Source organism: Homo sapiens, chromosome 13 (assembly GCF_000001405.40).
Source record: "Homo sapiens chromosome 13, GRCh38.p14 Primary Assembly".
Classification (NCBI taxonomy): Eukaryota; Metazoa; Chordata; class Mammalia; order Primates; family Hominidae; genus Homo; species Homo sapiens.
This window is the reverse complement of record NC_000013.11, coordinates 60,488,581-60,512,710: the sequence shown is the minus strand read 5'-3', so window position 1 is coordinate 60,512,710 and position 24,130 is coordinate 60,488,581. Positions and strand designations below refer to the sequence as shown.

General features: G+C 39.0%; 1 protein-coding gene across 14 annotated transcripts in view; it reads right to left on the bottom strand.

Annotated features, from left to right (window-relative positions):
- TDRD3 (tudor domain containing 3) overlaps positions 1–24,130 on the bottom strand; it is a 178,347-nt gene that overhangs the window by 61,169 nt on the left and 93,048 nt on the right. For all 14 annotated transcript variants that reach the window (XM_047430685.1, XM_024449417.2, XM_005266560.3 and 11 more), the window contains exons 8-10: positions 18,136–18,276; positions 2,792–2,948; positions 1,956–2,081 (exon numbers count right to left, since the gene is read on the bottom strand). In XM_047430685.1, the coding sequence (XP_047286641.1) occupies positions 1,956–2,081; positions 2,792–2,948; positions 18,136–18,276 (424 nt within the window). The remainder of the gene's footprint in view (positions 1–1,955; positions 2,082–2,791; positions 2,949–18,135; positions 18,277–24,130) is intronic.

Here is a 24,130-nt window from a genome sequence, read left to right as displayed (position 1 = left end):
GTCAAAGGAGATCATTTTGGAGCTTTTAAGATTTGACTAACATGCTGGATTTCGGACTTGCATGGGGCCTGTAGCCCCTTTGTTTTGGCCAATTTCTCCCATTTGGAATGGCTATATTTACCTAATGCCTGTACCCCCATTGTATCTAGGAAGTAACTAACTTGCTTTTGATTTTTCAGGCTCTTAGGCAGAAGAGATTTGCCTTGTCTCAGATGAGACTTTGGACTGTGGACTTTTAAGTTAATGCTGAAATGAGTTAAGACTTTGGCGGACTGTTGCGAAGGCATGATTGGTTTTGAAATGTGAGGACATGATATTTGGGAGGGGCTGGGGGTGGAACGATATGGTTTGGCTGTGTCCCCACCCAAATCTCATCTTGAATGCCCACATGTTGTGGGAGGGACCCAGTGGGAGGTAAGTAAATCATGGGGGCAGGTCTTTCCTGTGCTGTTCTCGTGACAGTGAATAAGTCTCACAAGATCTGATGGCTTTATAAGGGTTTCTCTCCACAAGCTCTCCCTTTGCCTCCTGCCACCTACATAATAAGTGACTTGTTCCTCCTTGCCTTCCACCGTGATTGTGAGGCTTCCCCAGCCACGTGGAACTGTAAATCCAATACACTCTTTTTCCTGTATAAGTTACCTAGTCTCAGGTATATCTTCATCAGCAGCATGAAAACAAACTAATACAGGAGTCAAAAGCAAATGTAAGGGGACAGGAGGATGAAAGGAAATCAAAGGATCTCTCAGTGGGACAGTATGAAGAGAGGCTGGGACAAAAGTACTCATTAAGTCAGAGTCAGGAAAAAGAAAGATCTGAAGCAGCAGCAGAGACTCTCCTGCTGGCTTTGCAGAGCAAACAATATGTAAATTGCCTATGGGGTGGCCCATGTGGCAATAATCTGAAGGCAGCTTTTAGGAGATAAAGCAGTCTCCAGGCAACACCAAGCAAAAAACGGGACTTCATTTCCACAAGAAAATGAATTCTGCTAGAATGGGTGAGCCTGTAAGAGGAACTCAAGTCTCTGATAACATCACCGCTCCAACCAAAATCTTAACATCAGCATCTGAGACTTTAAACAGAGGCCCCAATGAAGCTGTGCCTAGACTCCTGACACAAAGAAACTATAAGGTAATAAAGTTGCATTGTTTTAAGCCACTGACTTTGTGGTAATTTGTTACACAGAAATAGAAAACTAATACATCATGCTTATAAATCTTGCCCACATCAAACATTTGTTTTCTCAAATGCTACACTGCCTTTTCTATATAATCTAGCAAACATGCTTCAATTTTTATGAAATCTGAACATTTCATATTTGTTATAAAAGCATTTTATCTCTGAGCTTATTTGGCTAGATTCAAAATATATCTGAATGAGAAACTGAATTTAAAAGTATATTTCCTTAACTTTTTGGATTGTATTTTGAAAACTTACCATTTTAGAAAATATTTACTATATTATGTGCTTAGAAAAAGGCTGCATATTTACCATACTTACTTCTCTTTTCAATATAGTAATCACTAAAGTATATAAAAAATATACCACATTGTGAAAGCATTTTCACTCATTGTGTGAACATTTTCAAACTATGTAATATGGGGAGAAAGAAGAGATATATCAATTTCACAAGCAAAATAAGTTATATAAGATTATAATAAATTTCCAACACAACAACCTGTTTACACAGTTATATCTGTCATCTAGATATGAGCAAATTTGGGAAAACTGGTTTGGTGAGATTACTAATCCCAGTTAGGGGGCAAAATAAGCTGCCATTATGTTTTCAGATTAAGTAAATTTATAAACAAACACTCAGGATATACGTTCATATTATAGTTGTTTTACACTACAATTCTAAATAAAGTTTGGTCTTTTAAAAAGAAATACGCTAAAAAAAAAAAAAAAGAAAGAAAAGAAAGAAAAAAAAAGGAATCAACTTTAAATTAGCTTACCTTCCACATTCAAAGTTCCCATTTTAGATTCCAAGAAATCAAATAATGTGCTTGGTGCTGATGGCCTTGCATTTCCCAGGTCCTCTTCATCTTCAGATCTTATTCGCCCCCTGCCTTTTCCTCTACCTTTAGATGCAAAAGCAAGAAATATGTACTGTATATGCAAAAACAAAAAGAGAATATATACTAATATATAACCAACAATAATTTTAAATAAGGATTTTAATTTCTTTTCATATTTTTTGTATAGTCTACATCTTTTAAGTAATTTTTTTAGGTTTTTAAGTAATTATATTAAGTAGCATATTTAATCCTCTAAATAAATGATCTATTCAGAAGTCCGAATTTGTTCATATAAACTAACTTTTAAGGAAAAATTATAATTTATTCTTTAACCACAGATATTTTTAAAAGAATATAGGACTGGGACCACATAAGAAACTTGACCATGCAATGATTAAAGAATAACACCAAGTAAATGTAATATTTTTGTTAATTTTTAAAAGCTTAGTCATTTACTGAGGTGGCAGAGTTCTAGAAATAATAGAACCAGTCACATATTTTCTCTATTACTCATAACAACCTTGTTAAATAAGGTATTGTTAGACCCATTTTGTTTTTGTTTTGTTGTTGTTGTTAGATCCATTTTGTACAAAGATGAAGACAATGAGACTGAGACTACAAATGTCTCTATGGTTCCCAAACTGGTGTTCCTTCCACTTACCATAATGTTAAACAAAATTACAGCCCTCACAGAAATAACAGCCTCTGTCAATAACATATATTACTCTGAAAAGCAAACAATACTATCTGGCACACTGCTTAATAAATTATACCTCTCAGAGGAGGACCCATAACAGGTTTCTGTTTATTGCTTGTAAGAAGTACGTTCAGTGCTGCTTCTAAGTTGTTGCCATTATCCATAAGAGCTTGCCTCGATGCTTCCTTACTGAAGCCCATTTCCGTTATGTGCTTCAGAGCTTTCTCATCAACCTGGAAGGAATAAAGAGAAAAGCTGGCTGATAGCCCACAGATAAGGCAAGGCATAAACTTTTAACTACTTACTGTCTTTTAACTAAAAATTACATCCCATACTTATGTAAAAATGTCATTCTAATACAACATTCTCTTGCTGATTTTTTACAAGAGGCAAGGAAGAATCTGTATGATATGTGGGGTTGTGCCTTGAGTATTCTCTGACCTCACAAGTAACACTGCAAAAGCAACACACAAAAAATAAATTTTATGATATGTTAGAGTATGGCCTTTGAAAATAATATAGACAGTGAGGAGAAAACTACTTAATGAAAATTTTTCATGGTAAAAAATGGAAATTTTTTGATACTTCTCCATACTAGAAGGGAAATGTAATTCATACAGCACCTCTCCAAAAATGTAAACTATTGAAGCTAACAAAATGATACCCCCCAGGAGCTTTTTTTTTTAAACTAGTACTTGAGTATTCTAGCTATATTCATTAGCAATACTATCTATGATGCTTTGACAGCTATACCCCAATAAGAAAATCTACTTTACAAATGCCAGAATCCAAATCTCTTTTAAAAATCTAGACCTGAATAGAATTCAAGAACCACTTAAGGAGTATAAACATATCCTACGAAGAAATTTCTTGAACCAAAGCCAGCTGAGAAAAACAAAACTTTAACTTTTATACATCTAATAGTTAACATGTTTATACATTGTTTTCCTGATTTCTTTAGTTCTTTGTCAATGGTTTCTCTCAGACCTTTGAGCATATATAAGACAGTCCATTTAAAGTCTTTCTCTAGTTAAGTCCAATGCATGGGCTATTTGAGGTGTGGTTTCTATGGATTTCTCTTTTTCTTGTGAATGGGCTAAATTTTCCTGCCTTTTGTAGGCTTTGTAATTTTTTGTTGGGAAGTGGACATTTTGAATCCTGTAATTAGGTAACTGAAAGTCAGATTGTGCCTCCTCCCCAAGGATCACCACTGTTAACTTGATGAAGGTTACAGTGATCAGTTTGCTTAGTGACTTTTCTAAACTTTTTTCACAAGAAATATATTGCCCATGCCTATGTCCTGAATGGTATTGCCTAGGTTTTCTTCTAGGATTTTTATGGTTTTAGGTCTTACATTTAAGTCTTTAATCCATCTTGAGTTAATTTTTGTACAAGGTGTAAGGAAGGGATCCAGTTTCAGTTTTCTGCATATGGCTAGCCAGTTTTCCCAGCAAAATTTATTAAATAGGAAATCCTTTCCCCATTGCTTGTTTTTGTCAGGTTTGTCAAAGATCATATGGTTGCAGATGTGTGGTGTTATTTATGAGGCGTCTGTTCTGTTCCATTGGTCTATATATTTGTTTTGGTACCAATATCATGCTGTTTGGGTTACTGTAGCCTTTTAGTATAGTTTGAAGTCACGTAGCATGATGCCTCCAGCTTTGTTCTTTTTGCTTAGGATTGTCTTTGCTACATGGGCTCCTTTTTGGTCCCATCTGAAATTTAAAGTAGTTTTTTCTAATTCTGTGAAGAAAACCAATGGTAGCTTGATGGGGATAGCACTGAATCTATACATTACTTTGGGCAGTATGGCCATTTTCATGATATTGATTCTTCCTATCCGTGAGCATGGAATATTTTTCCATTCGTTTGTATCCTCTCTTATTTCCTTGAGCAATGGTTTCTAGTTCTCCTTGAAGAGGTCCTTCACATCCCTTGTAAGTTGTATTCCTAGGTATTCTCTTTGTAGCAATTGTGAATGGCAGTTCACTCATGATTTGGCTCTCTGTTTGTATATGACCAGTGTATAGGAATGCTTGTGATTTTTGCACATTGGCTTTGTATCCTGAGAGTTTGCTAAAGTTGCTTATCAGCTTAAGGAGATTTTGAACTGAGACAATGAGGTTTTCTAAATATACAATCATGTCATCTGCAAACACAGACAATTTGACTTCCTCTCTTCCTATGTGAATACTCTTTATTTCTTTCTGTTGCCTGAATGCCCTGGCCAGAACATCCAATACTATGTTGAATAGGAGTGGTGAGAGAGGGCATCCTTGTCTTGTGCCAGTCTTTCCCTCTACAAATTGCTTTAAATGTGTCCCAGAGATTCTGGTATTTTTTGTCTTTGTTCTCATTGGTTTCAAAGAACTTATTTACTTTTGCCTTAATTTTTTTATTTACCCAGTAGTCATTCAGGAGAAGGTTGTTCAGTTTCCACCTATTTGTGCCATTCTGAGTGAGTTTCTTAATCCTGAGTTTTAATTTCATTGCACTGTGGTCTGACAGACTGTTATTATTTTCGTTCTTTTGCATTTGCTGAGGAGTGTTTTACTTCCAATTATGTGGTCAATTTTAAAGTATGACATAGTGCTGAGAAAAATGTATATGCTCTTGATTAGAGGTGGAGAGTTCTGTAGATGTCTATTAGGTCCGCTTGGTCCAGAGCTGAGTTCAAGTCCTGAATATCCTTGTTAATTTTCTGTCTCGATGACCTCATATTGACAGTGGGGTGTTAAAGTCTCCCACTATTATTGTGTGGGAGTCTAAGATCTCTTTGTAGGTCTCTAAGAACTTGCTTTATGAATCTGGGTGCTCCTGTATTGGGTGCATATATATTTGGGATAGTTAGCTCTTCTTGCATTGATCCTTTTACCATTATGTAATGCCCTTGTCTCTTTTGATCTTTGTTAGTTTAAAGCCTGTTTCATCAGACACTAGGATTGCAACCCCTGCATTTTTTTTGCTTGCCATTTGCTTGGTAAATATTCCTCCATCCCCATATTTTGAGCCTATGTGTGTCTTTGCACGTGAGATGGGTCTCCTGAATACAGCACACTGATGGGTCTTGACTCTTTATCCAATTTGCCAGTCTGTGCCTTTTAATAGGGACATTTAGCCCATTTACATTTAAGGCTAATATTGTTATGTGTGAATGTGATCATGTCATTATGATGCTAGCTGGTTATTTTGCCCTTTAGCTGATGCAGTTTCTTCATAGTGTCGATGTTCTTTTTTTTGTTTGTTTGTTTCATTCTGTCACCCAGGCTGGAGTGCCGTAGTGCAATCTCAGCTCACTGCAAACTCCGCCTCCCAGGTTCCAGTGATTATCCTGCCTCAGCCTCTCAAGTAGCTGGGATTATAGGCATGCACCACAACGCCCAGCTAGTTTTTGTATTTTTAGTAGAGATGGGCTTTCACCATGTTAGCCAGGCTGGTCTCAAACTCCTCAAACTCAATCCTGACCTTGCGATCCGCCCACCCTGGCCTCCAAAAGTGCTGGGATTACAGGCATGAGCCACTGCACTCGGCCAGTGTCAATGTTCTTTACAATTTGGTATGTTTTTGCAGTGGTTAGTACCGGTTGCTCCTTTCCATATATAGTGCTTCCTTCAGGAACTCTTGTAAGGCAGGCCTGGTGGTGATAAAATCTCTCAGCATTTTCTTGTCTGTAAAGGATTTTATTTCTCCTTTGCTTTTGAAGCTTAGTTTGGCTGGTATGAAAATCTAGATATGAAATTCTTAAAGAAAACTCTTCTTTAAGAATGTTGAATAGTGGCCACCACTCTTCTGGCTTGTAGGGTTTCTGCAGAGAGATGTGCCATTAGTCTGATGGGTTTCCCTTTGAGGGTAACCTGACCTTTCTCTCTGGCTTCCCTTAATATTTTTTCCTTCATTTCAACCTTGGTGAATCTGATGATTATGTGTCTTGGGGTTGCTCTTCTCAAGGAGTATTTTTGTGGTGTTCTCTGTATTTTCTGAATTTGAATGTTGGCCTGTCTTGCTAGGTTGGGGAAGTTCTTCCGGACAATATCCTGAAGTGTGTTTTCCAACTTGGTTCCATTCTTCCTGTCACTTTCAGGTACACCAATCAAATGTAGGTTTGGTCTTTTCACATAGTCCCATATTTCTTGGAGGCTTTCATTGTTCCTTTTCATTCTTTTTTCTCTAATCTTGTCTTTCCACTTTATTTCATTAAGTTGATCTTCAATCTCTGATATCCTTTCTTCCACTTTATCAATTCGGCTATTGATACTTGTGTATGCTTCACAAAGTTCTCGTGCTATGTTTTTCAATTCCATCGGGTCATTTATGTTCTTCTCTAAACTAGTTATTCCAGTTAGCAATTCCTCTAACCTTTTTTCAAGTTTCTTAGCTTCCTTGCATTGGGTTAGAACATGCTCCTTTAGTTAAGAAGCACTGTGCTGAGAGATCCGCTGCTTGCTTCAGAGCCGGCAGGCAGGAATGTTTATGTCTGCTGAAGCTGTGCCCACAGCCGCCCCTTCCCCCAGTTGCTCTGTCCCAGGGACATGGGAGTTTTATCTATAATCCCCTGGCTGAGGCATCTGCCTTTCTTTGACAAATGCCCTCCCCAGAGAGGAAGAATCCAGAGACGCAGTCTGGCTACAGCAGATTTGCCAAGCTGCGGTGGACTCTGCCCAGTGAGAACTTCCTGGTGGCTTTGTTTACACTGTGAGGGGAAAACTGCCTACTAAGGCTTAGTAATGGCAGACACCCCTCTCCCCAACCAAGCTCAAGCATCCCAGGTCAACTTCAGACTGTGGTGCTGGCAGCGAGAATTTCAAGCCAGTGGATCTTAGCTTGTTGGGCTCTGTGGGGGTGGGATCCGCTGAGCTAGACTACTTGGCGCCCTGGCTTCAGCCCCCTTTCCAGCAGAGTGAACAGTTCTGTCTCACTGGCATTCCAGGCGTCACTGGGGTATGAAAAAATAACTCCTGCAGCTAGGTTAGTGTCTGCCCAAAAGGCCATCAGTTTTGTGCTGGAAACCCAGGGTCCTGGTGGCATGAGCACCCAAGGGAATCTCCTGGTGTGCAGGTTGTGAAGACTGTGAGAAAAGCATAGTATCTGGGCCGAAGTCCACTATTCCTCATGGCACAATACCTCATGGCTTATCTTGGCTATGGGAGACAGTTCCCCGACCCCTTGTGCTTCCCAGGTGAGGCAACGCCCCACTCTGCTTCTGCTCGCCCTCCATGGGCTGCACACACTGTCTAACCAGTTCCAATGAGATGAGCCAGGTACCTCAGTTGAAAATGCAGAAATCACCTGCCTTCTGCCTTAGTCTCGCTAGGAGCTGCAGGCCGGAGCTGTTCCTATTCAGCCATCTTGCCAGCCACCACCGAATCAAATATTTTTTTAAGGAAAGATAAAAGCTGTAATGCTTTTTAGTTCATGTGACTTTAATATTTAAGAAACAAAATGTCTTAAGGATGGTAAAATGCAAGTGTCATCAAAATGCAAATATGTGGTCTAAATCATACAAGTCAGATACTAGGTTTGCTAAATGTTTTAAGGTTGTAAACTGCCTGCTTTACAGACAGGCAAGTCCTGGGACATATGGAGTTAGATGCTGGAAAGTCAGACCTTATCTGCACTTCTGTCTGGGTCCTAGGCTCCATACCTGGTACACAATTAAAACTGCTTACTAACCAGGTTTTTCACCAAAAGTAAAAGTTGCTAAGAGTTTACATTGCAACATGTATTTGAGATCACTAAACAGTTTTACAAGCAAGGTGTATAAAAACAGTAACTTTTTTTAGTAAAAGATTATCAGAAAGCATGAAAATGTAAATTTTGCCCAGGGATGAGTGATTATCTCAGATTTGATAAGATAAACCTAGAGGTAATTAAGCAAATTATAAAAAGATTTAAAAAATTCTAAAATTTTTAAAATTAATCTTGCAAAAACACACAAACATTAACTAAATTCAAAAAAGTATATGATCTTTTCATAAATTGAGCATTGAAATAAAAGCACAGCAAGGTTTTCTTCTGATGCCAATCTGCCCTTTAGCAAAAAGCATTATAAAAGGTTTGTAAAGATTTCATTTATGGTCAAACTGGTTAAGATTAGATGGAATCGTCTATAAGGTTTCATTTAAACCAATTGGGGTTAACATTAATAAACTGATGCAAGGGTACAATTTGGCTTTCAACAGGATTTTCATGTAATAGTAAAGGCTAATGAAAGGCTTTTGCCTTTTGAGTTATCATTTTGGCAAAATAAATAATTTGTAGCAATATGGAATTCTATTTCATAACATCAAGTGTTTTAAGTCCTCCAACATTTAGCAGCCTTCCCAAAATCAAACTTCAAGTTTCAAAATTTTCTTTCCGGATACCTTGCTTTCTGGATGGTTCAGAGGGCCCCTGAAACATCCAGAGAAGAGATAAACAGGATTGTTTGGCATGTTTAGTCACATTGGATTTCCGAAATGATGTGCAATCTTCTTTAAGTTATATTTTGGTGAATAATACTAATATATGTTCCAATATTGTATGGAATTTCTAAAAGTCGAATGTCTAATTATATCCTATTAATCATAATTAAGGTTGTCAAGTTATTGTAAACCACAGATAACTAAACTTTATCAGTCATGTTTTTAACTGTAACTACCCTGGAAATGTCATTTGCAGACAATTCTTGTCTTGCTCTGTTCCTTCTCAAAAGATGGGTTACAATCAAGCTATACAACTTTAACAGGTGCTCTCAAATGCAGGATTCTAATAGCTTTGAAGATTGTAACACTGGAATAGAGAAAAAGGTACAGGACTCATGAAGAACTGAAATGTTCACAAGTATCAAGCAAAACAGAAGTTAACTAAATGGACTAAACTCAGAAAGCTAAAGGAACCTTTTTTATTTTTCTTAGAATATTGATGATCCTTGTTTGTCTTTCAGAGTCAAGGAAACTTATTTTGAACGATTTACAGCCTTTAATAATTGAATAAGGTATTCTGTGAACAAAGTTTGGAGCATGTTTGTTTCTCTCTGCCTGGTTCCTCTAGAATTTCAAAACTATCTCTGAGTACTCTTAAGTTATCACAATATAGTAGTTTGCATCAGTTCAATAAGAATCCATTTTCCTTTTGCAACAGGACACAATTAGAAAAACCGGTTATTTTATCAAGGCTTTGACTGGAAGGATATGCTTCCCTTTAAGGAGTCAATCTCAACTTGTAGAGACAATAAAATTCCCATGGAGAGAACTGGCCTCATACCTATATATATAATCCTGTACAAGGTTCCTGACCTGTGGTCAGTAAAGAATGTCACTTTCTAACAGGACCAGGAGCTCCTGGTTTATCCTGGGGCCTTTAGAGGAGAAGATCACCCAACTCACAGGTATTTGAAGATACAAACCCATGGCTGAGCTCAGCTTTAAAAGATCTTATCTGAGGTTCCTTGTGGAACAGAGTTCCATCAAAGACAATCCAAAAGGCCTATATAGAAATAATCATTCTTGCTGCACTTTATGCAAATAATCAGGCCAAGTATAAGACTAAAGTTTATTCTACAAAAAACACAGTCCTATCATAATTTGTTTTTACCAAAAATAAGGACTAGAGAGAGAAAAATTATGATCCAAAGCTTATACATTTGTCATTAAATTCCAGTCTCATTAATTGTTTTTTAGTTTATTTTGTTGACATTTTAGACTAACCCTGCTTATTCCTGTGAATCAAGTGGTGATCTCTTGCAGCTTGGAAGAAACAAAAAGGCATGGGTAATGTAAAAATCTGGATCAATATCCTAGTTCTGGACAATTATCCTGCAAATTCTGTCAGGTAATGAAAGTGAGTAGGGTGCCCATAACCCAGAGGTTCATTTGGGAAGATAAAACTAAGGATCTTCATAGAACCACAAAAGGAAATTCTGTATCTTAGCAAGTAAAATTTTAGATGGAAATTATGTACTACACAACACTTGCGGGAACTGCTATACTCACTCTACTATTTGCAGTAGGGTTATACACGTTACCACCTTCTAACTGGAATATCAGACAGAGAGTTTCCATTGCTATAGTATTTTGTGTAATTATTATCCTGATAGCAGGAATAATAGTTACCAACAAAAAAGAAGCATAAAAATTTTACTATCACTGAGTCTGCTAGAACTTTATTGGGTTTGGTAACATGTCACACCCTGGCTATGCAAATAAGGTTATAAAGGAAAGAGATTTTATATAAGAAAGGATCTTGTATAGTAAGTACTTGTCCTAAAGAGAATAGTTGGTTGTTTAAAAGAGGGATGTTCAGGACAAGTCAGAAGGTTTAAGCATTTTGTGGATGGTTTGGGGAAGTCATAAAATGATTTTATGGATGGTAAACACTTGTCCTAAAAAGAATCTTTGGTTGTTTAAAAAGAAGGATGTTTAGGACAAGTAGGAAAGTTTAAGCATGTCTTAGATGGTCTGTGTAAGTCATGGAGGGATTAATAATTGCAGAAAAGATTTAGCCAGGGTTAACACTGAAGTTACTCTAGCCATCCAAATCCAATGCTACTTATCCCAAAAGGAATGTTCCATTTATATTAGTGTTTCAGCAACATCTGGTGGAGGCAAACCAGTATTACAACCCATCGGAATGGCTGACAGCAATCAAACTCCAAATGGTGCTGTAGACAGAACAATGCATGGACACATCTTTCTGCTGAGGACCTTTAGATTGATCCTAGGAGGAGCCCTAGCTGTTGTTCCCCACACAATGCCTCTCTTAAGCAGGAAGTAGCCAAAAGAGTCATCGTCCAACACCCCCTAACAGCAGTTAGAGTTACCACTCCAGCGGGGGGAATGATACAGGAGTTAAGAAGAAATTACTTAGGCAGATAGTGAGTGGCTATTCCAGTGAGAACAAACCTCTGCCCTTTCCATGATGGAAAATGTGCAATATAATCAACGTGCCAACAGGTAGCTGGCTGATCACCCCAAGGAATAGTCACTGGCCATAGCCAGGTCAGCCTTGGTGAGTGGAGTTCCATGTTGCTGAGCCCAAGCGTAACCTCCCTCCCTCCCACCATGGCCACTTTGTTCATGGGCACATTGGAATATAATAGGTGTGGCTGGAACAGAGGTTGAGGTGGTGTCCACAGAATGGGTCATCCTATCCACTTGATTACTAAAATCCTCCTCTGCTGAGGTCACCCATTGATTAGCACTCACATGGGATACAAACATCTTCACAGTTTTTGACCACTCAGAGTGGTCCATCAACATACCTCTTTCCCAAATTTCTTTGTCACCAATTTTCCAATCATGCTTCTTCCAAGTCCCTGATAATCCAGCCAAACCATTGGCTACAGCCCATAAATCAGTATATAATCGCACATTTCGCCATTTCTCCTTAAATGCAAAGTGCACAACTAGGTGCACTGCTTGAAGTTCTGCCCACTGGGAAGATTACCCTTCACTGCTATCCTTCAGAAATGTCTTAGAAAGGGGCTGTAGGCTGTAGCTGTCCACTTTTGGGTGGTGCCTGCATATTGTGCAGAACCCTCTGTGAACCAGGCCCCAGTCTTCTCTTCCTCTGTCAACTGATCATAGGGACTCCCCATGAGGCCACTGGTGCAGACTTGGGGAGACAAGGCAGGGTGGCAGGATTGGAGACCATGGACATTTGAGCCACTTCCTCATGTAACTTACTTGTGCCTTCAGGACCTGCTCAAGCCCAATCACATATACAACTTCCATTTGATAATGGAATGCTGCTGTGCATGAGCCATTTTATGGTGAGATAGGTCAGAAAGCACCCAGTTCATGATAGGCAGTTCAGGTTGCATGGTGACTTGATGACCCATAGTCAAATGTTCGGTTTCCACCAAAACCCAGTAACAGGCCAAGAGCCGTCTCTCAAAAAAAGAGCAGTTATCCACAGAAGATGGCAGGGCCTTGCTCCAAAATCCTAGAGGCTTCTGCTGTGATTCACCTATGGCGGCCTGCGAAAGGCTCCAACTAGCATCTGTGCCACTGACACCTCAAGCACCATTGGATCTGCTGGGTCATATGGCCCAAGTGGCAGAGCAGCTTGCACAGCAGCCTGGACCTGTTGCAGAGCCTTCTCCTGTTCTGGACCCCACTCAAAACTGGCAGCCTTTTGGGTCACTTGATAAATCCGCCAGAGTAACACATCCAAATGAGTAATGTGTTGCCTCCAAAATCCAAATAGGCCCACTAGGCATTGTGCCTCTTTCTTGGTTATAAATGCAGCAACTTATCCTTCACCTTAGAACGAATATCTCAACACGCCCCACACCACTGGACCCCTAGAAATTTTCCTGAGGCAGAACATTCCTGAATTTTAGTCAGATTTATTTCCCATCCTCTGGCATGCAAATATCTCACCAATAAGCCCACTGTGTTTGCTACTTCGTGCTTACTGGATCCAATCAGCATATGTCATCACTGTAAGAGACCAGTGTGATATCTTGCAGAAGTGAAAAGTGATCAAGTTCTCTCTGAATACAATTATGACACAAAGCCAGAGAGTTGATATACCCCTGAGGAAGGACAGTAAAGGTATATTTCTGGCCTTGCCAGCTGAAGGCAAATTGCTTCGGGTGGACCTTATGGACCAGAATGGAGAAAAAGGCATTTGCCAAGTCAATGACTACATACCAGGTACCAGGAGATGTGTTAATTTGCTCAAGCAATGAAACCACATCTGGTACAGCAGCTGCAATTGGAGTCACCACTTGATAATCCACTGTAATTCTCCAAGATCCATCTGTCTTCTGCACAGGCCAAATGGGAGAGTTGAATGGGGATGTGGTGGGAATCATCACCCCTGTGTCTTTCAGGTCCTTGATGGTGGCACTAATCTCTGCAATCCCTCCAGGGATGCAATATTGTTTTTGATTTACTATTTTTCTAGGTAGAGGCAGCTCTAATGGCTTCCATTTGGCCTTTTCCACCATAATCACCCTCACCCTACCAGTCAGGGAGCCAGTGTGAGGGTTCTGCCAGCTGCTAAGTATGTCTATTCCAATTATGCATTCTGGCACTGGGGAAATGACCACAGGATGAGTCCGCGTACCCACTGGACCCACTGTAATTTGGACCTGAGCTAAAACTCCTTTAATTTCCTGACCTCCATAAGCCCCTACTTTAACTGGAGGACCACAGTGACATTTTGGGTCCCCTGGAATCAACATCAGCTGAGCCAGTTTCCAGTAGTCCCCAAAACGTTTGATCATTTCTCTTTCCCCAATGCACAGTTACCCTGGTAAAAGGCCGGAGGTCTCCTTGGGGAAGGATAGAAGAAAGACTCACTGCATAAACTGTCGGTGGGGTCTTTCCTCAAGGGGACCCAGCCTCCCCTTCATTCAAGGGATTCTGGGTCTGTAAACTGGCTGAAAATTGATTGAGGGGCCACAAATCTCTACTTTCATAATTCAAATTAGTCTTTTGTCCATTAGACCTAGAAGCTTTCTGCTTGTCTAAATTATGTAGGAATGCAGTAGGCTTCCTATCAATTTCACATCTAGGAACACCATGATTAATTAGCCAATGCCAGAGCTCTACACAAGTCAGAATATTCTGATTGCCGTTTTGCTTCTACCGTCCATTACAGTAGCCACGCTTAACCTTGCCTTTGATGGTTGAGTGCCACCACTTGGCCCCTGCCACCTTGGGATCCAATTATTCCCACTGCAGTTAAATTTTGTAGTTGAGTGACTGCAGTTCACACTGTTAGCTCTGACATACAGAGAAGAGCAATTACAGGGCATCTTCAAAGATGCCTGTGCTGCCCTCACAAATCTATTTTGCAAGGCGTTGCTCAAGGGTATATCTTCTGGACCCTCCCAGCTGGAATGAGTAGGTCTAAAGAGACTAATCCACTCCACCATCCCAATCTCCCTAAGCCATTGTATCCCTTCCTCTACATTAAGCCAAGGGAGATCAGGCATTTCCAGCTTGCTCACAGTGGGCCATCTTTTAATCCACATTTCAGCTAACCAAGCAAATAAACTATTAGCCTTTTTTTTTAACCCCCCGAGCTGCAATATTAAATGCAGATTCAGGCCTACTTAGCAGGCCTGAATCAATAAATTCAGCCTGATCCAACTCAATGTTGCTTCCACCATTATCCCACACCCTTAATATACATTCCCATGTCTGCTCTTCAGATTTCTGTTTATATAAATTAGAAAACTCAAGCCATTACTGGGGATGGGGAAGCTGTTTCTTCTAGCAAAAAAAAATTCATCAGAGTTTACAAACTCAGTGTCCCCAGCTTCATCAGGGCCCACCCACACATCCCCATTCCAAGCTACAAGGTCCTACTCTTTTCCAACCAATGCCCTCACTTTAAAAGTAGACACCTGGCAAGACTGTGCATGCACCTTTCATTTCATGTCAGCCACTCACATGATAAGAGCTTGTGTCTGTTTTTCCACAATTTCAGCTTTTTCTCCACAGGAGATAATGAAAGACAGGACTAGCTGGATTTCCTAGGCCGACTAAGAATTCCTAAGCCTAGCTGGGGAAGGTGACTGCACCCACCTTTAAACACGGAGCTTAGTTCACACCCGACCAATCAGGTAGTAAAGAGAGCTCACTAAAATGCTAATTAGGCAAAAACAGAAGAAATAGCCAATCATCTATCACCTGAGAGCACAGGGGGAGGGACAATGATCGGGATCTAAACCCAGGCATTCGAGCTGGCAATGACAACCCCCTTTGGGTCCCCTCCCATTTTATGGGAGCTCTGTTTTCACTCTATTAAATCTTGCAACTGCACACTCTTCTGGTCCATGTTTGTTAAGACTCAAGCTGAGCTTTCGCTTGCCATCCACCACTGCTGTTCACCGCCGTCCCAGACCCGCCGTTGACTTCCACCCTTCCGGATCCAGCAGGGTGTCCACTGTGTTTCTGATCCAGTGGGGTGCCAGCTGCCGCTCCCAATCAGGCTAAAGACTTGCCATTGTTCCTGTATGGCTAAGTCCCCGGTTCGTCCTAATTGAGCTGAACACTAGTTGCTGGGTTCCACGGTTTTCTTCCGTGACCCACCGCTTCTAACAGAGCTATAACACTGCATGGCCCAAGGTTCCATTCCTTAGAATCCATGAGGCCAAGAATGCCAGGTCAGAGAACAAGCAGCTTGCTGCCATCTTGGAAGCAGCCCACCACCATCTTGGGAGCTCTAAGAACAAGGACCCTCCAGTAACAATAAGACTCTTACTCAGGGCAATCTTAGCAGATTTGAGGCTCAGTATCTGCTTCTGAAGCCAGGAGATAGGATGCCTGAGTTCATCATTTTCTTTCATCACTTTGTCCACCAAACTTAGAAGCAACCAACCAGCTTCATTATGTTCCTTGGTTCTCCACATATGGTCAAAGGTATTATGTATAGAGTCACTAAACTCCTTGCCTCTCATGAGTGATGAATCAAAAACAGTAAATGCATTTATTTTGCATAACTCTCTAAAAAGTTCATGTGAAGGACTATCAGTGTTCTCCACACTATTAGAAGTAGAGTCCATAGCAGTTTTGGATCTAATCATATTAAGCAGCCAACTCCAAAAATCCCAAATCTAACGAAACAAATACATCCTTAATATTTTGTTCCTCTAGAACCACTCCTGGTACCAAAATCTGTATTAGGGTTCTTTAGAGGGACAAAACTTTAGAGGATATATATATATATATATATATATATATATATATATATATATATATATATATATATGGGAGTTTGTTAAGTATTAACTCACAAGGTCCCACAATAGACCATCTGCAGGCTACGGAGCAAGGAGAGCCAGTCCAAGTTCCAAAACTGAAGAACTTGGAGTCTGATGTTTGAGGTTAGGAAGCATCCAGCACAGGATAAAGATGTAGGCTGGGAGCCTAGGCCAGTCTGTCTTTTCACATTTTTCTACCTGTTTATATTGTAGCCATACTGGCAGGTGACTAGATTGTGCTCACCCAGATTAAGGGTGGGTCTGCCTTTCCCAAGTCACTGATTCAAATGTTAATCTCCTTTGGCAACACCCTCACAGACACACTCAGGATCAATACTTTGTATTCTTCAATCCAATCAAGTTGACACTCCATATTAGCCATCACGGCCACAAGATTAGAAACTATGGTTTAAGAGTTATGCAGCTGGAGGCTACAAGATTCTGACCCTCCACAAACTGCTCCTAAGATCAGTGTTCTTGGCTCACTGGCTTCCCCCACCCACCAACTTGTCCTTAAAAACTTTTATCCCACCGGGCATGGTGGCTCACGCCTGTAATCCCAGCACCTTGGGAGGCCGAAGAAGCGGGTGGATCATCTGAGGTCAGGAGTTCGAGACCAGTTTCACTAATATAGTGAAACCCTGTCTCTACTAAAAATGCAAAAAATTAGCTGGGTGTGGTGGCAGGTGCCTATAATCCCAGCTACTCAAGAGGCTGAGAGAGGAGAATCACTTGAACCCAGGAGGCAGAGGCTGCAGTGAGCCAAGATTGAGCCATTGCACTCCAGCCTGGGCAACAAGAGTGAAATGCCATCTCAAAAAAAAAAAAATACCTCTGATTCCTGAATGATCACTGAGATGGATTTGAGTATAATAAAACTCCAGTCTCTCACGATAGCTGGCTCTGCATGAATTACTCTTTCTCTATTGCAATTCCCCTGTCTTGATAAATCAGCTTTATTTAGGCAGTGGGTAAGGTGAATCCATTGAGCAGTTACATAACACTAAGGAGAAAGCCAAGAAATCATGGAAATACCCACAAATGCCCTAATATTGTTATACTGCTGAATTTACCAACACTTGTAACCATCTACTTCTGAACTTCTTGTTATATGAAATAATAAACCTCCATGGTTTAAGCTGTTTTGGGATATTCTGTACCCTAAAGACAAAAATCAACCAAAGTCATTCAACCTCTAAAGGGAGAGGAAAATGAATTTTTGCAAACATCCTTAGATCTGAGAACACTACAGCATGCCAGAAATATGTTTGACTCCACTCATTTATCTTAAAAATTCAAGAATATTTTGCAATTGGGTCCACATAATACATATGCTTGTTTCACAATATTCTTCCCAAAGAGCAGTAGAAAACAAAACAAAATCACTTTAGACAAAATTTGACAAAAGATGTGGGGAAGGTGGGGAAGCACAGAAAAATGTATGTTTTTGATGCATCATCTTTTGATGGCTTTTTATCAATCCATTCCAAAATATATTATTAGGACATTAGTAATTTAAGTGAGATAGAAGTTTTAAGTAAATTATTTTTCAAACAATCCAAATTTTTAATGATTTAATTGTAATCCTTAATGAAAGCCTTCAAGAGTTATAACATCTATCCATAATACATTGCACAAAGCCAGTGGTGGTGGTAAGAAAGAATAAAAGAATCATTTTAAGAAATAACACTTTAAATTTGTGGTTAGTTCTTTAGCCTTACCAGTTCTCTATAGACACCTTCATGTTTTCCCTCTGATTTGGTTGACTTTTCTTTCTGTAAAACTTCCCTATTTCGGTTACCAGCAGCATTCATATTGAGATTACTTCTAGCACCACCACCACCTCCTCCAAATGTCTTGGTCTTTACATAAGAGAAAGATAAAAGAGAGGTATGTAGACAGCATTTAAAAATAGTTCTAAAAACTAAGCTATGACTAAAAACAACTGAAGTAATTAAGTTTCCTAATTATGTTTTACATGAAAAAATAAAATATTAACTTACTCCTTTTGAATAGCAAAAATATCTACTAGTCACAATCTCTTATTCACAAATCCAGGCCAGGCAATAAAAATAATTACATGATTTGTGAATAAAAGGGAAGTCATGAAAATGAGTGTACAACTATAGAGAAGAAAATACTACAAGCATTATGAAGACTACTTGTTAAAATGATTTTAGGGTAAAATACTTGACTACTGCCTTGAGAGTTGGGTTCTAAATCCAGCTACCAGGCAAGGTTATCTTGAATCATTAAAATTATGTCCATAGTTCAGTATTATGATTGCATAATCTTAGTAAACAAGTTTGAACATTAGATTGAAACTCTCATTACTAATTTATTATTTTCATTAATCATGTAATATGTCATTTCTTACCGACTGCATATAAAAGCTTTTAAGTCTGTATTTCTTATTTGGCCTGTCTTTTTTGAATAAATATATATGTGACATTAAATTTGAAAATTTGATTTTATCTTATATTTGTTTTTCAAAACTATTAGGAAAAGATTAGGACATAAATAATATTGGTTTTGAAAGACACAACTTCATAACTGAAAAGCATCGCCAGTTGTTACCTGTACAGTATGAAACATTTGGTTAAACAATATTTTTATAGATTTTGTTTTTGTTTTTTGAGACAGGGTCTTTCTGTCACCTAGACTGGAGTGCAGTGGTGCAATCTCAGCTCACTACAACCTCCACCTCCCAGGCTCAAGTGATTATCCTGTCTCAGCCTCCTCAGTAGCTGGGATTACAGGTATGTGCCACTACCACCCGGCTAATTTTTGTATTTTTAGTAGAGATGGGGTTTCACCATGTTGGCCAGGCTGGTCTCGAACTCCTGACCTGAGATGATCTATCCACCTTGCCCTCCCAAAGTGCTGAAGTTACAGGCATGAGCCACCATGCCTGGCAAATATTTTTATAGTTCTCATGGATATAATAAAAGAAGAAGCTAAAACAATTTTTATTAGAGACAATGACCAATATTTTAAAATATGTTTTAAAATGATTACAGTAAGGAAACATCTTACATATAAATTATATATAATACAATAACATTAGAAAATTATTTGAGGCCGGGCGCGGTGGCTCACGCCTGTAATCCTAGCACTTTGGGAGGCCGAGACGGGTGGATCACGAGGTCAGGAGATCGAGACCATCTTGGCTAACACGGTGAAACCCCGTTTCTACTAAAAATACAAAAAATTAGCCGGGCATGTTGGCGGGCGCCTGTAGTCCCAGCTACTTGGGAGGCTGAGGCAGGAGAATGGCATGAACCTGGGAGGCGGAGCTTGCAGTGAGCCGAGATCGCGCCACTGCACTCCAACCTGGGAGATACAGCGAGACTCCGTCTCAAAAAAAAAAAAAAAAAAAGAAAAGAAAGAAAATTATTTGAAACGGAAGAAAATACAAAGAAGTATACATGAAAACTTTTTTAAAATGTTGGATGAGCACTAATGGATAACATATTAAGCATCTCTATTAGGTAGCTGATAAACTACAGTATTTACATTTAACTCAAATCAAAATTAAAACCACATCTTCAATTACCAAGGATTCATTACTAGATTCATTCAATTTTGGGTTTATGGAATCCCAGCAAAAAAAAAAATATTTGAAATGCCTTCATAGTCATTACTTGTATAACTAGAAAAACGTATTTATTAATGTGATACAAAATTTATTAGACTAGGAGGCAAGGTAGCACAGTTAAGCACATAGGCTTTGTAACTAGACAAGGCTGGGACTTATCTTGGCCCAGCCACTATCTTTAGCCTTCAGGCAAGTCACTTAACTTCCACCTTCCACAGAGCCTCAGGTTTTTCATCTTTAAAACTGGGATTAGAAAACCTACCTCATTGGGATATTTGGAGAATTAAATGACATCATTGATATGAAGTGATTATCTCAGTAGCTGGCACATGGCAAACACTCAATAACAGATGGTATTTACTATTTTGGTTAATATACTAGAACAAAATTACCTGAAAAGTCTGGAATCTCACCTGCTCCAAATTAAATATATTTCCAAAATTTACATCCCCTAATTCCAAAAGTGTTTTTTCCTTTGGTGCCAGTGAAATAGTCCCATCTTCTGGATGCATTTACTTATAATTTTCTTTCCATTGTATGGATTAAGGAATAGGATAAGCAGCATTTTCGGAGTTGCTTTTTACTGCTCTAAAATAGTTACTACTCACTCATATAAATATCTAGAACCATCACAACCTAAATATTACCCATAAGGTAACTGGTGTTGCCCTTTATGAGCCACATCTTTTTGCTCATATTATATGAATTAGGCATCCATGAGATCATCATGACTGTGAAACTCAAGTGGGCCTTAATGCTGTCTAGCAATCTTACCATATTTCCCTAGCACACACATATACCTAATCTTCTAGACCACTATTTTACACATTCTCCTCACTTCTCAAACCTCCTTCTCATGTCACTGTTGACCATGCTTACTTCCTTATTAAAAAAAAAAAAAACCTGAAATAATCATTAAAGAACTCACATAGATTTTGACCACATCAACCCACACACTGTTGGTAAATGCATGGTCATACTTTATCTTAACCCCATATGGTTTATCATACCACCAACCATATGCATGTTAAGAGGAATGAGGATGGAATAAACAACTTCCTCGATTCTATATTAATTCTAAGTCCTCATCTTATGTAACTTTTCAATTGCCTTTGATAAGTTTAACACTTCCTTCTCCATAATGTATTTTCTGCATTGTCTGTTTTTATCCTGTTACTGGTCACACCTTGGCTGGTTCCACTTCTGCCATCTAGGCTCTAAGTTCAAATTGAAGTGTTACAGGGTTCATTATTAGCTTTTTCTGTTCTCTATCAACACTCATTCCTTTGGTGATCTCATTTGGCCTCATAATTTTCAATACCATCCATATGTCTACAACTCTCAAGTGCATGTATCTATTATAAAGCTCACTCTTCAGTCTTACTGTCTATTAAACATTATTACTACATGCATGTCTGATAAGTACCTCAATATTCACATGTTCAAAATGGAGCACCAGATCCTCCTCCCCTCACACCTGCTCCACTCCACACTTCTTCATTTCAAGGCAAGCAACTCTAACCTGCCAATTTCTCTGGGTAAAACTCTTAGATTCATTCTTCTTCTTTTTTTTTTTTTTTTTTTGAGATGGAGTTTTGCTCTTGTTGCCCAGGCTGGAGTGCAATAGCACAATCTTGACTCACCACAACCTCTGCCTGGGTTCAAGCGATTCTCCTGCCTCAGGCTCCCGAGTAGCTGGGATTATAGGCATGCGCCACCACGCCCAGCTAATTTTGTATTTTTAGTAGAGACGGGGTTTCTCCATGTTGGTCAGGCTGGTCTCAAACTCCCGACCTCAGGTGATCTGCCCACCTCAGCCTCCCAAAGTGCTGGGATTACAGGCGTGAGCCACTGCGCCTGGCTAGATTCATTCTTGATACCACATCTTCTCTTGTACCCTATATCCAATCTCAGTAACCCTAATGGCTCCTTCAAAATTCCAGAATCTGACCACTCTGCACTACCTACACAACTGCTATGTTTGTCCAAGGCATCATCATTTTTTTTTAAATCCTAGATTACTTCAATAATTCTCTACTTGTTGGTTTCCAATTCTCCTTCTCTGCAACCAAGTCTGAACACAGCAGCCACAATTACTCTTTCAGAATATAGGTCAGCTGAGGTTATTGCTGTGCTCAAAACATTCCAAAGGCTCCCATTTCTCCTTGAATGAAGTACAATGTCTTTACAATAGTTTACAGGGCCCTACATAAGGTAACCTCTATTATCTCTCTTGACTTTATCTTCTACTACTTGTCCCTCTGTTCTCTCTGCTTCCACTGGCCACTCCGCTGTTTCTCTGTGCTCCTGCTTTAGAGCCTTTGCCATGGCTTTTCCTTCTGCCTGGAATACTCTTGCTCAGATAACCAAGTAGTTAATTCTCGTACCTCCTTCAAGTCTTGGCTCAGCTCTCACTATCTTGAGGACTAAACAGACTATTATATTTAAAATTGCAATCTGCTTATTTAGTATGCTTATATTACTATGATTCAGATCTTCTGAGTTACATCGATTGAGTCCTACAATTATCACTGGATAACCTTGCACAAGTCCCAAGTTTGTTTGTTAGTTTTAAGCCTCCATAAATTCTCTCATATATAAATTGAGATGTTTTGATGTCTGCTGTAAAAAAAAAAAAAAAAAAAAAACTAAGATGCTTTAATTATCAAATATTCATGGGAAAATATAATATCAATTGTGACAACAAAAAGAAGCACATTATAATAGGTTAACTATGCTCCAATAAATAGACAGCTGTAACTGCATCCAACAAAATCCTTGGTAGAAAAGTTCATTTGAGATAAATGTAAATCAAAAGAACATCTTTCTATAATCATTTTAAAAAATATATTCTCAATATCTTCTGAAACTCCATAATTTTATGTATTTCTGGAAAAAAATAAATATATTTCATGCAAATTATATAAAATGTATTAATTTAAGAAATGGTAAAACTGTTTTTTTAAAAGTATGCCTTGTAGAGGAAAAAGTAAAGAATAGCAATAGTCGTGTTTACTGAGAGCTTTGAGCAAGAGTGTTATGATTTGTGCCAAGTAGCAGTAGTATTAGCTCTAAATGTTTTAATTCTCACATATGAAGTAGGTACCATTATTATCTCCGAGTTTCACAGATGAAAAAAATAAAAAACAGGGGATACAAAAAAGCTGAGTAACCATCCAAAGGTGTCAGTAGGATATGCTTCCAGCCTGTGATTCCAGAGCCTGTGCTTCTGGCCCCTTTACTAGACTGACAACAGAAAGACATTGCGGGAAGAACAACCAAAATTCAAGAACACTACTACTTACACTTCAAAATTAAATAGGAAAGCAGTTGTAAGCTAAGCTTCATTACAGGTTTTGAATAAAGGAAACAATTTCAATCTCACTGGTTAAGAAATGTCTATGTAGCAACTAATTTATGACCTAAAATTTCTTATCAGTCTAAAAGAAATCAATAAATAACTAGGAAAAACACCTATTACAAATAAGCAAATAATTCAAAATAATAAAAAGAGAACTTTGGCTATCAATAATATAAGAGAGAGGGGTTTGTTGTTCAGGATGTTGGTCTGGGCAAAGATTTTTTGGATAAGACCTCAAAAACACAGGCACACAAGTAAAAATAGACAAACGAGATTATATCAAACTAAAAAGCTTCTGCATAGCTAAGAATTCAATCAACAGAGTGAAGAGACAACCTACAGAATGAAGGAAAATAATTGCAAACTATCCATCTGACAAGGAGTTAATATCTAGAATATATAAGGAACATAACAATTCAAAAGCAAAACAAAACTAAACAAAACAAAAAATAAACCCGGCCAGGCATGGTAGCTCACGCCTGTGTAATCCCAGCACTTTGGAAGGCCAAAGTGAGCGGATCACCTGAGGTCAGGAGTTCAAGACCAGCCTGGCCAACATGGTGAAACCCTGTCTCTACTAAAAATACAAAAAAAGAATTAGCCAGACACGGTGGTGCACACCTGTGGTCCCAGCTACCTGGGAGGCTGAGGCTGGAGAATAGCTTGAACCTGGGAGGCAGAGGTTACAGTGAGCCAAGATCGCGCCACTGCACTCCACCCTGGGCAACAGAGCAAGACTCTGTCAAAAATAAAAAAA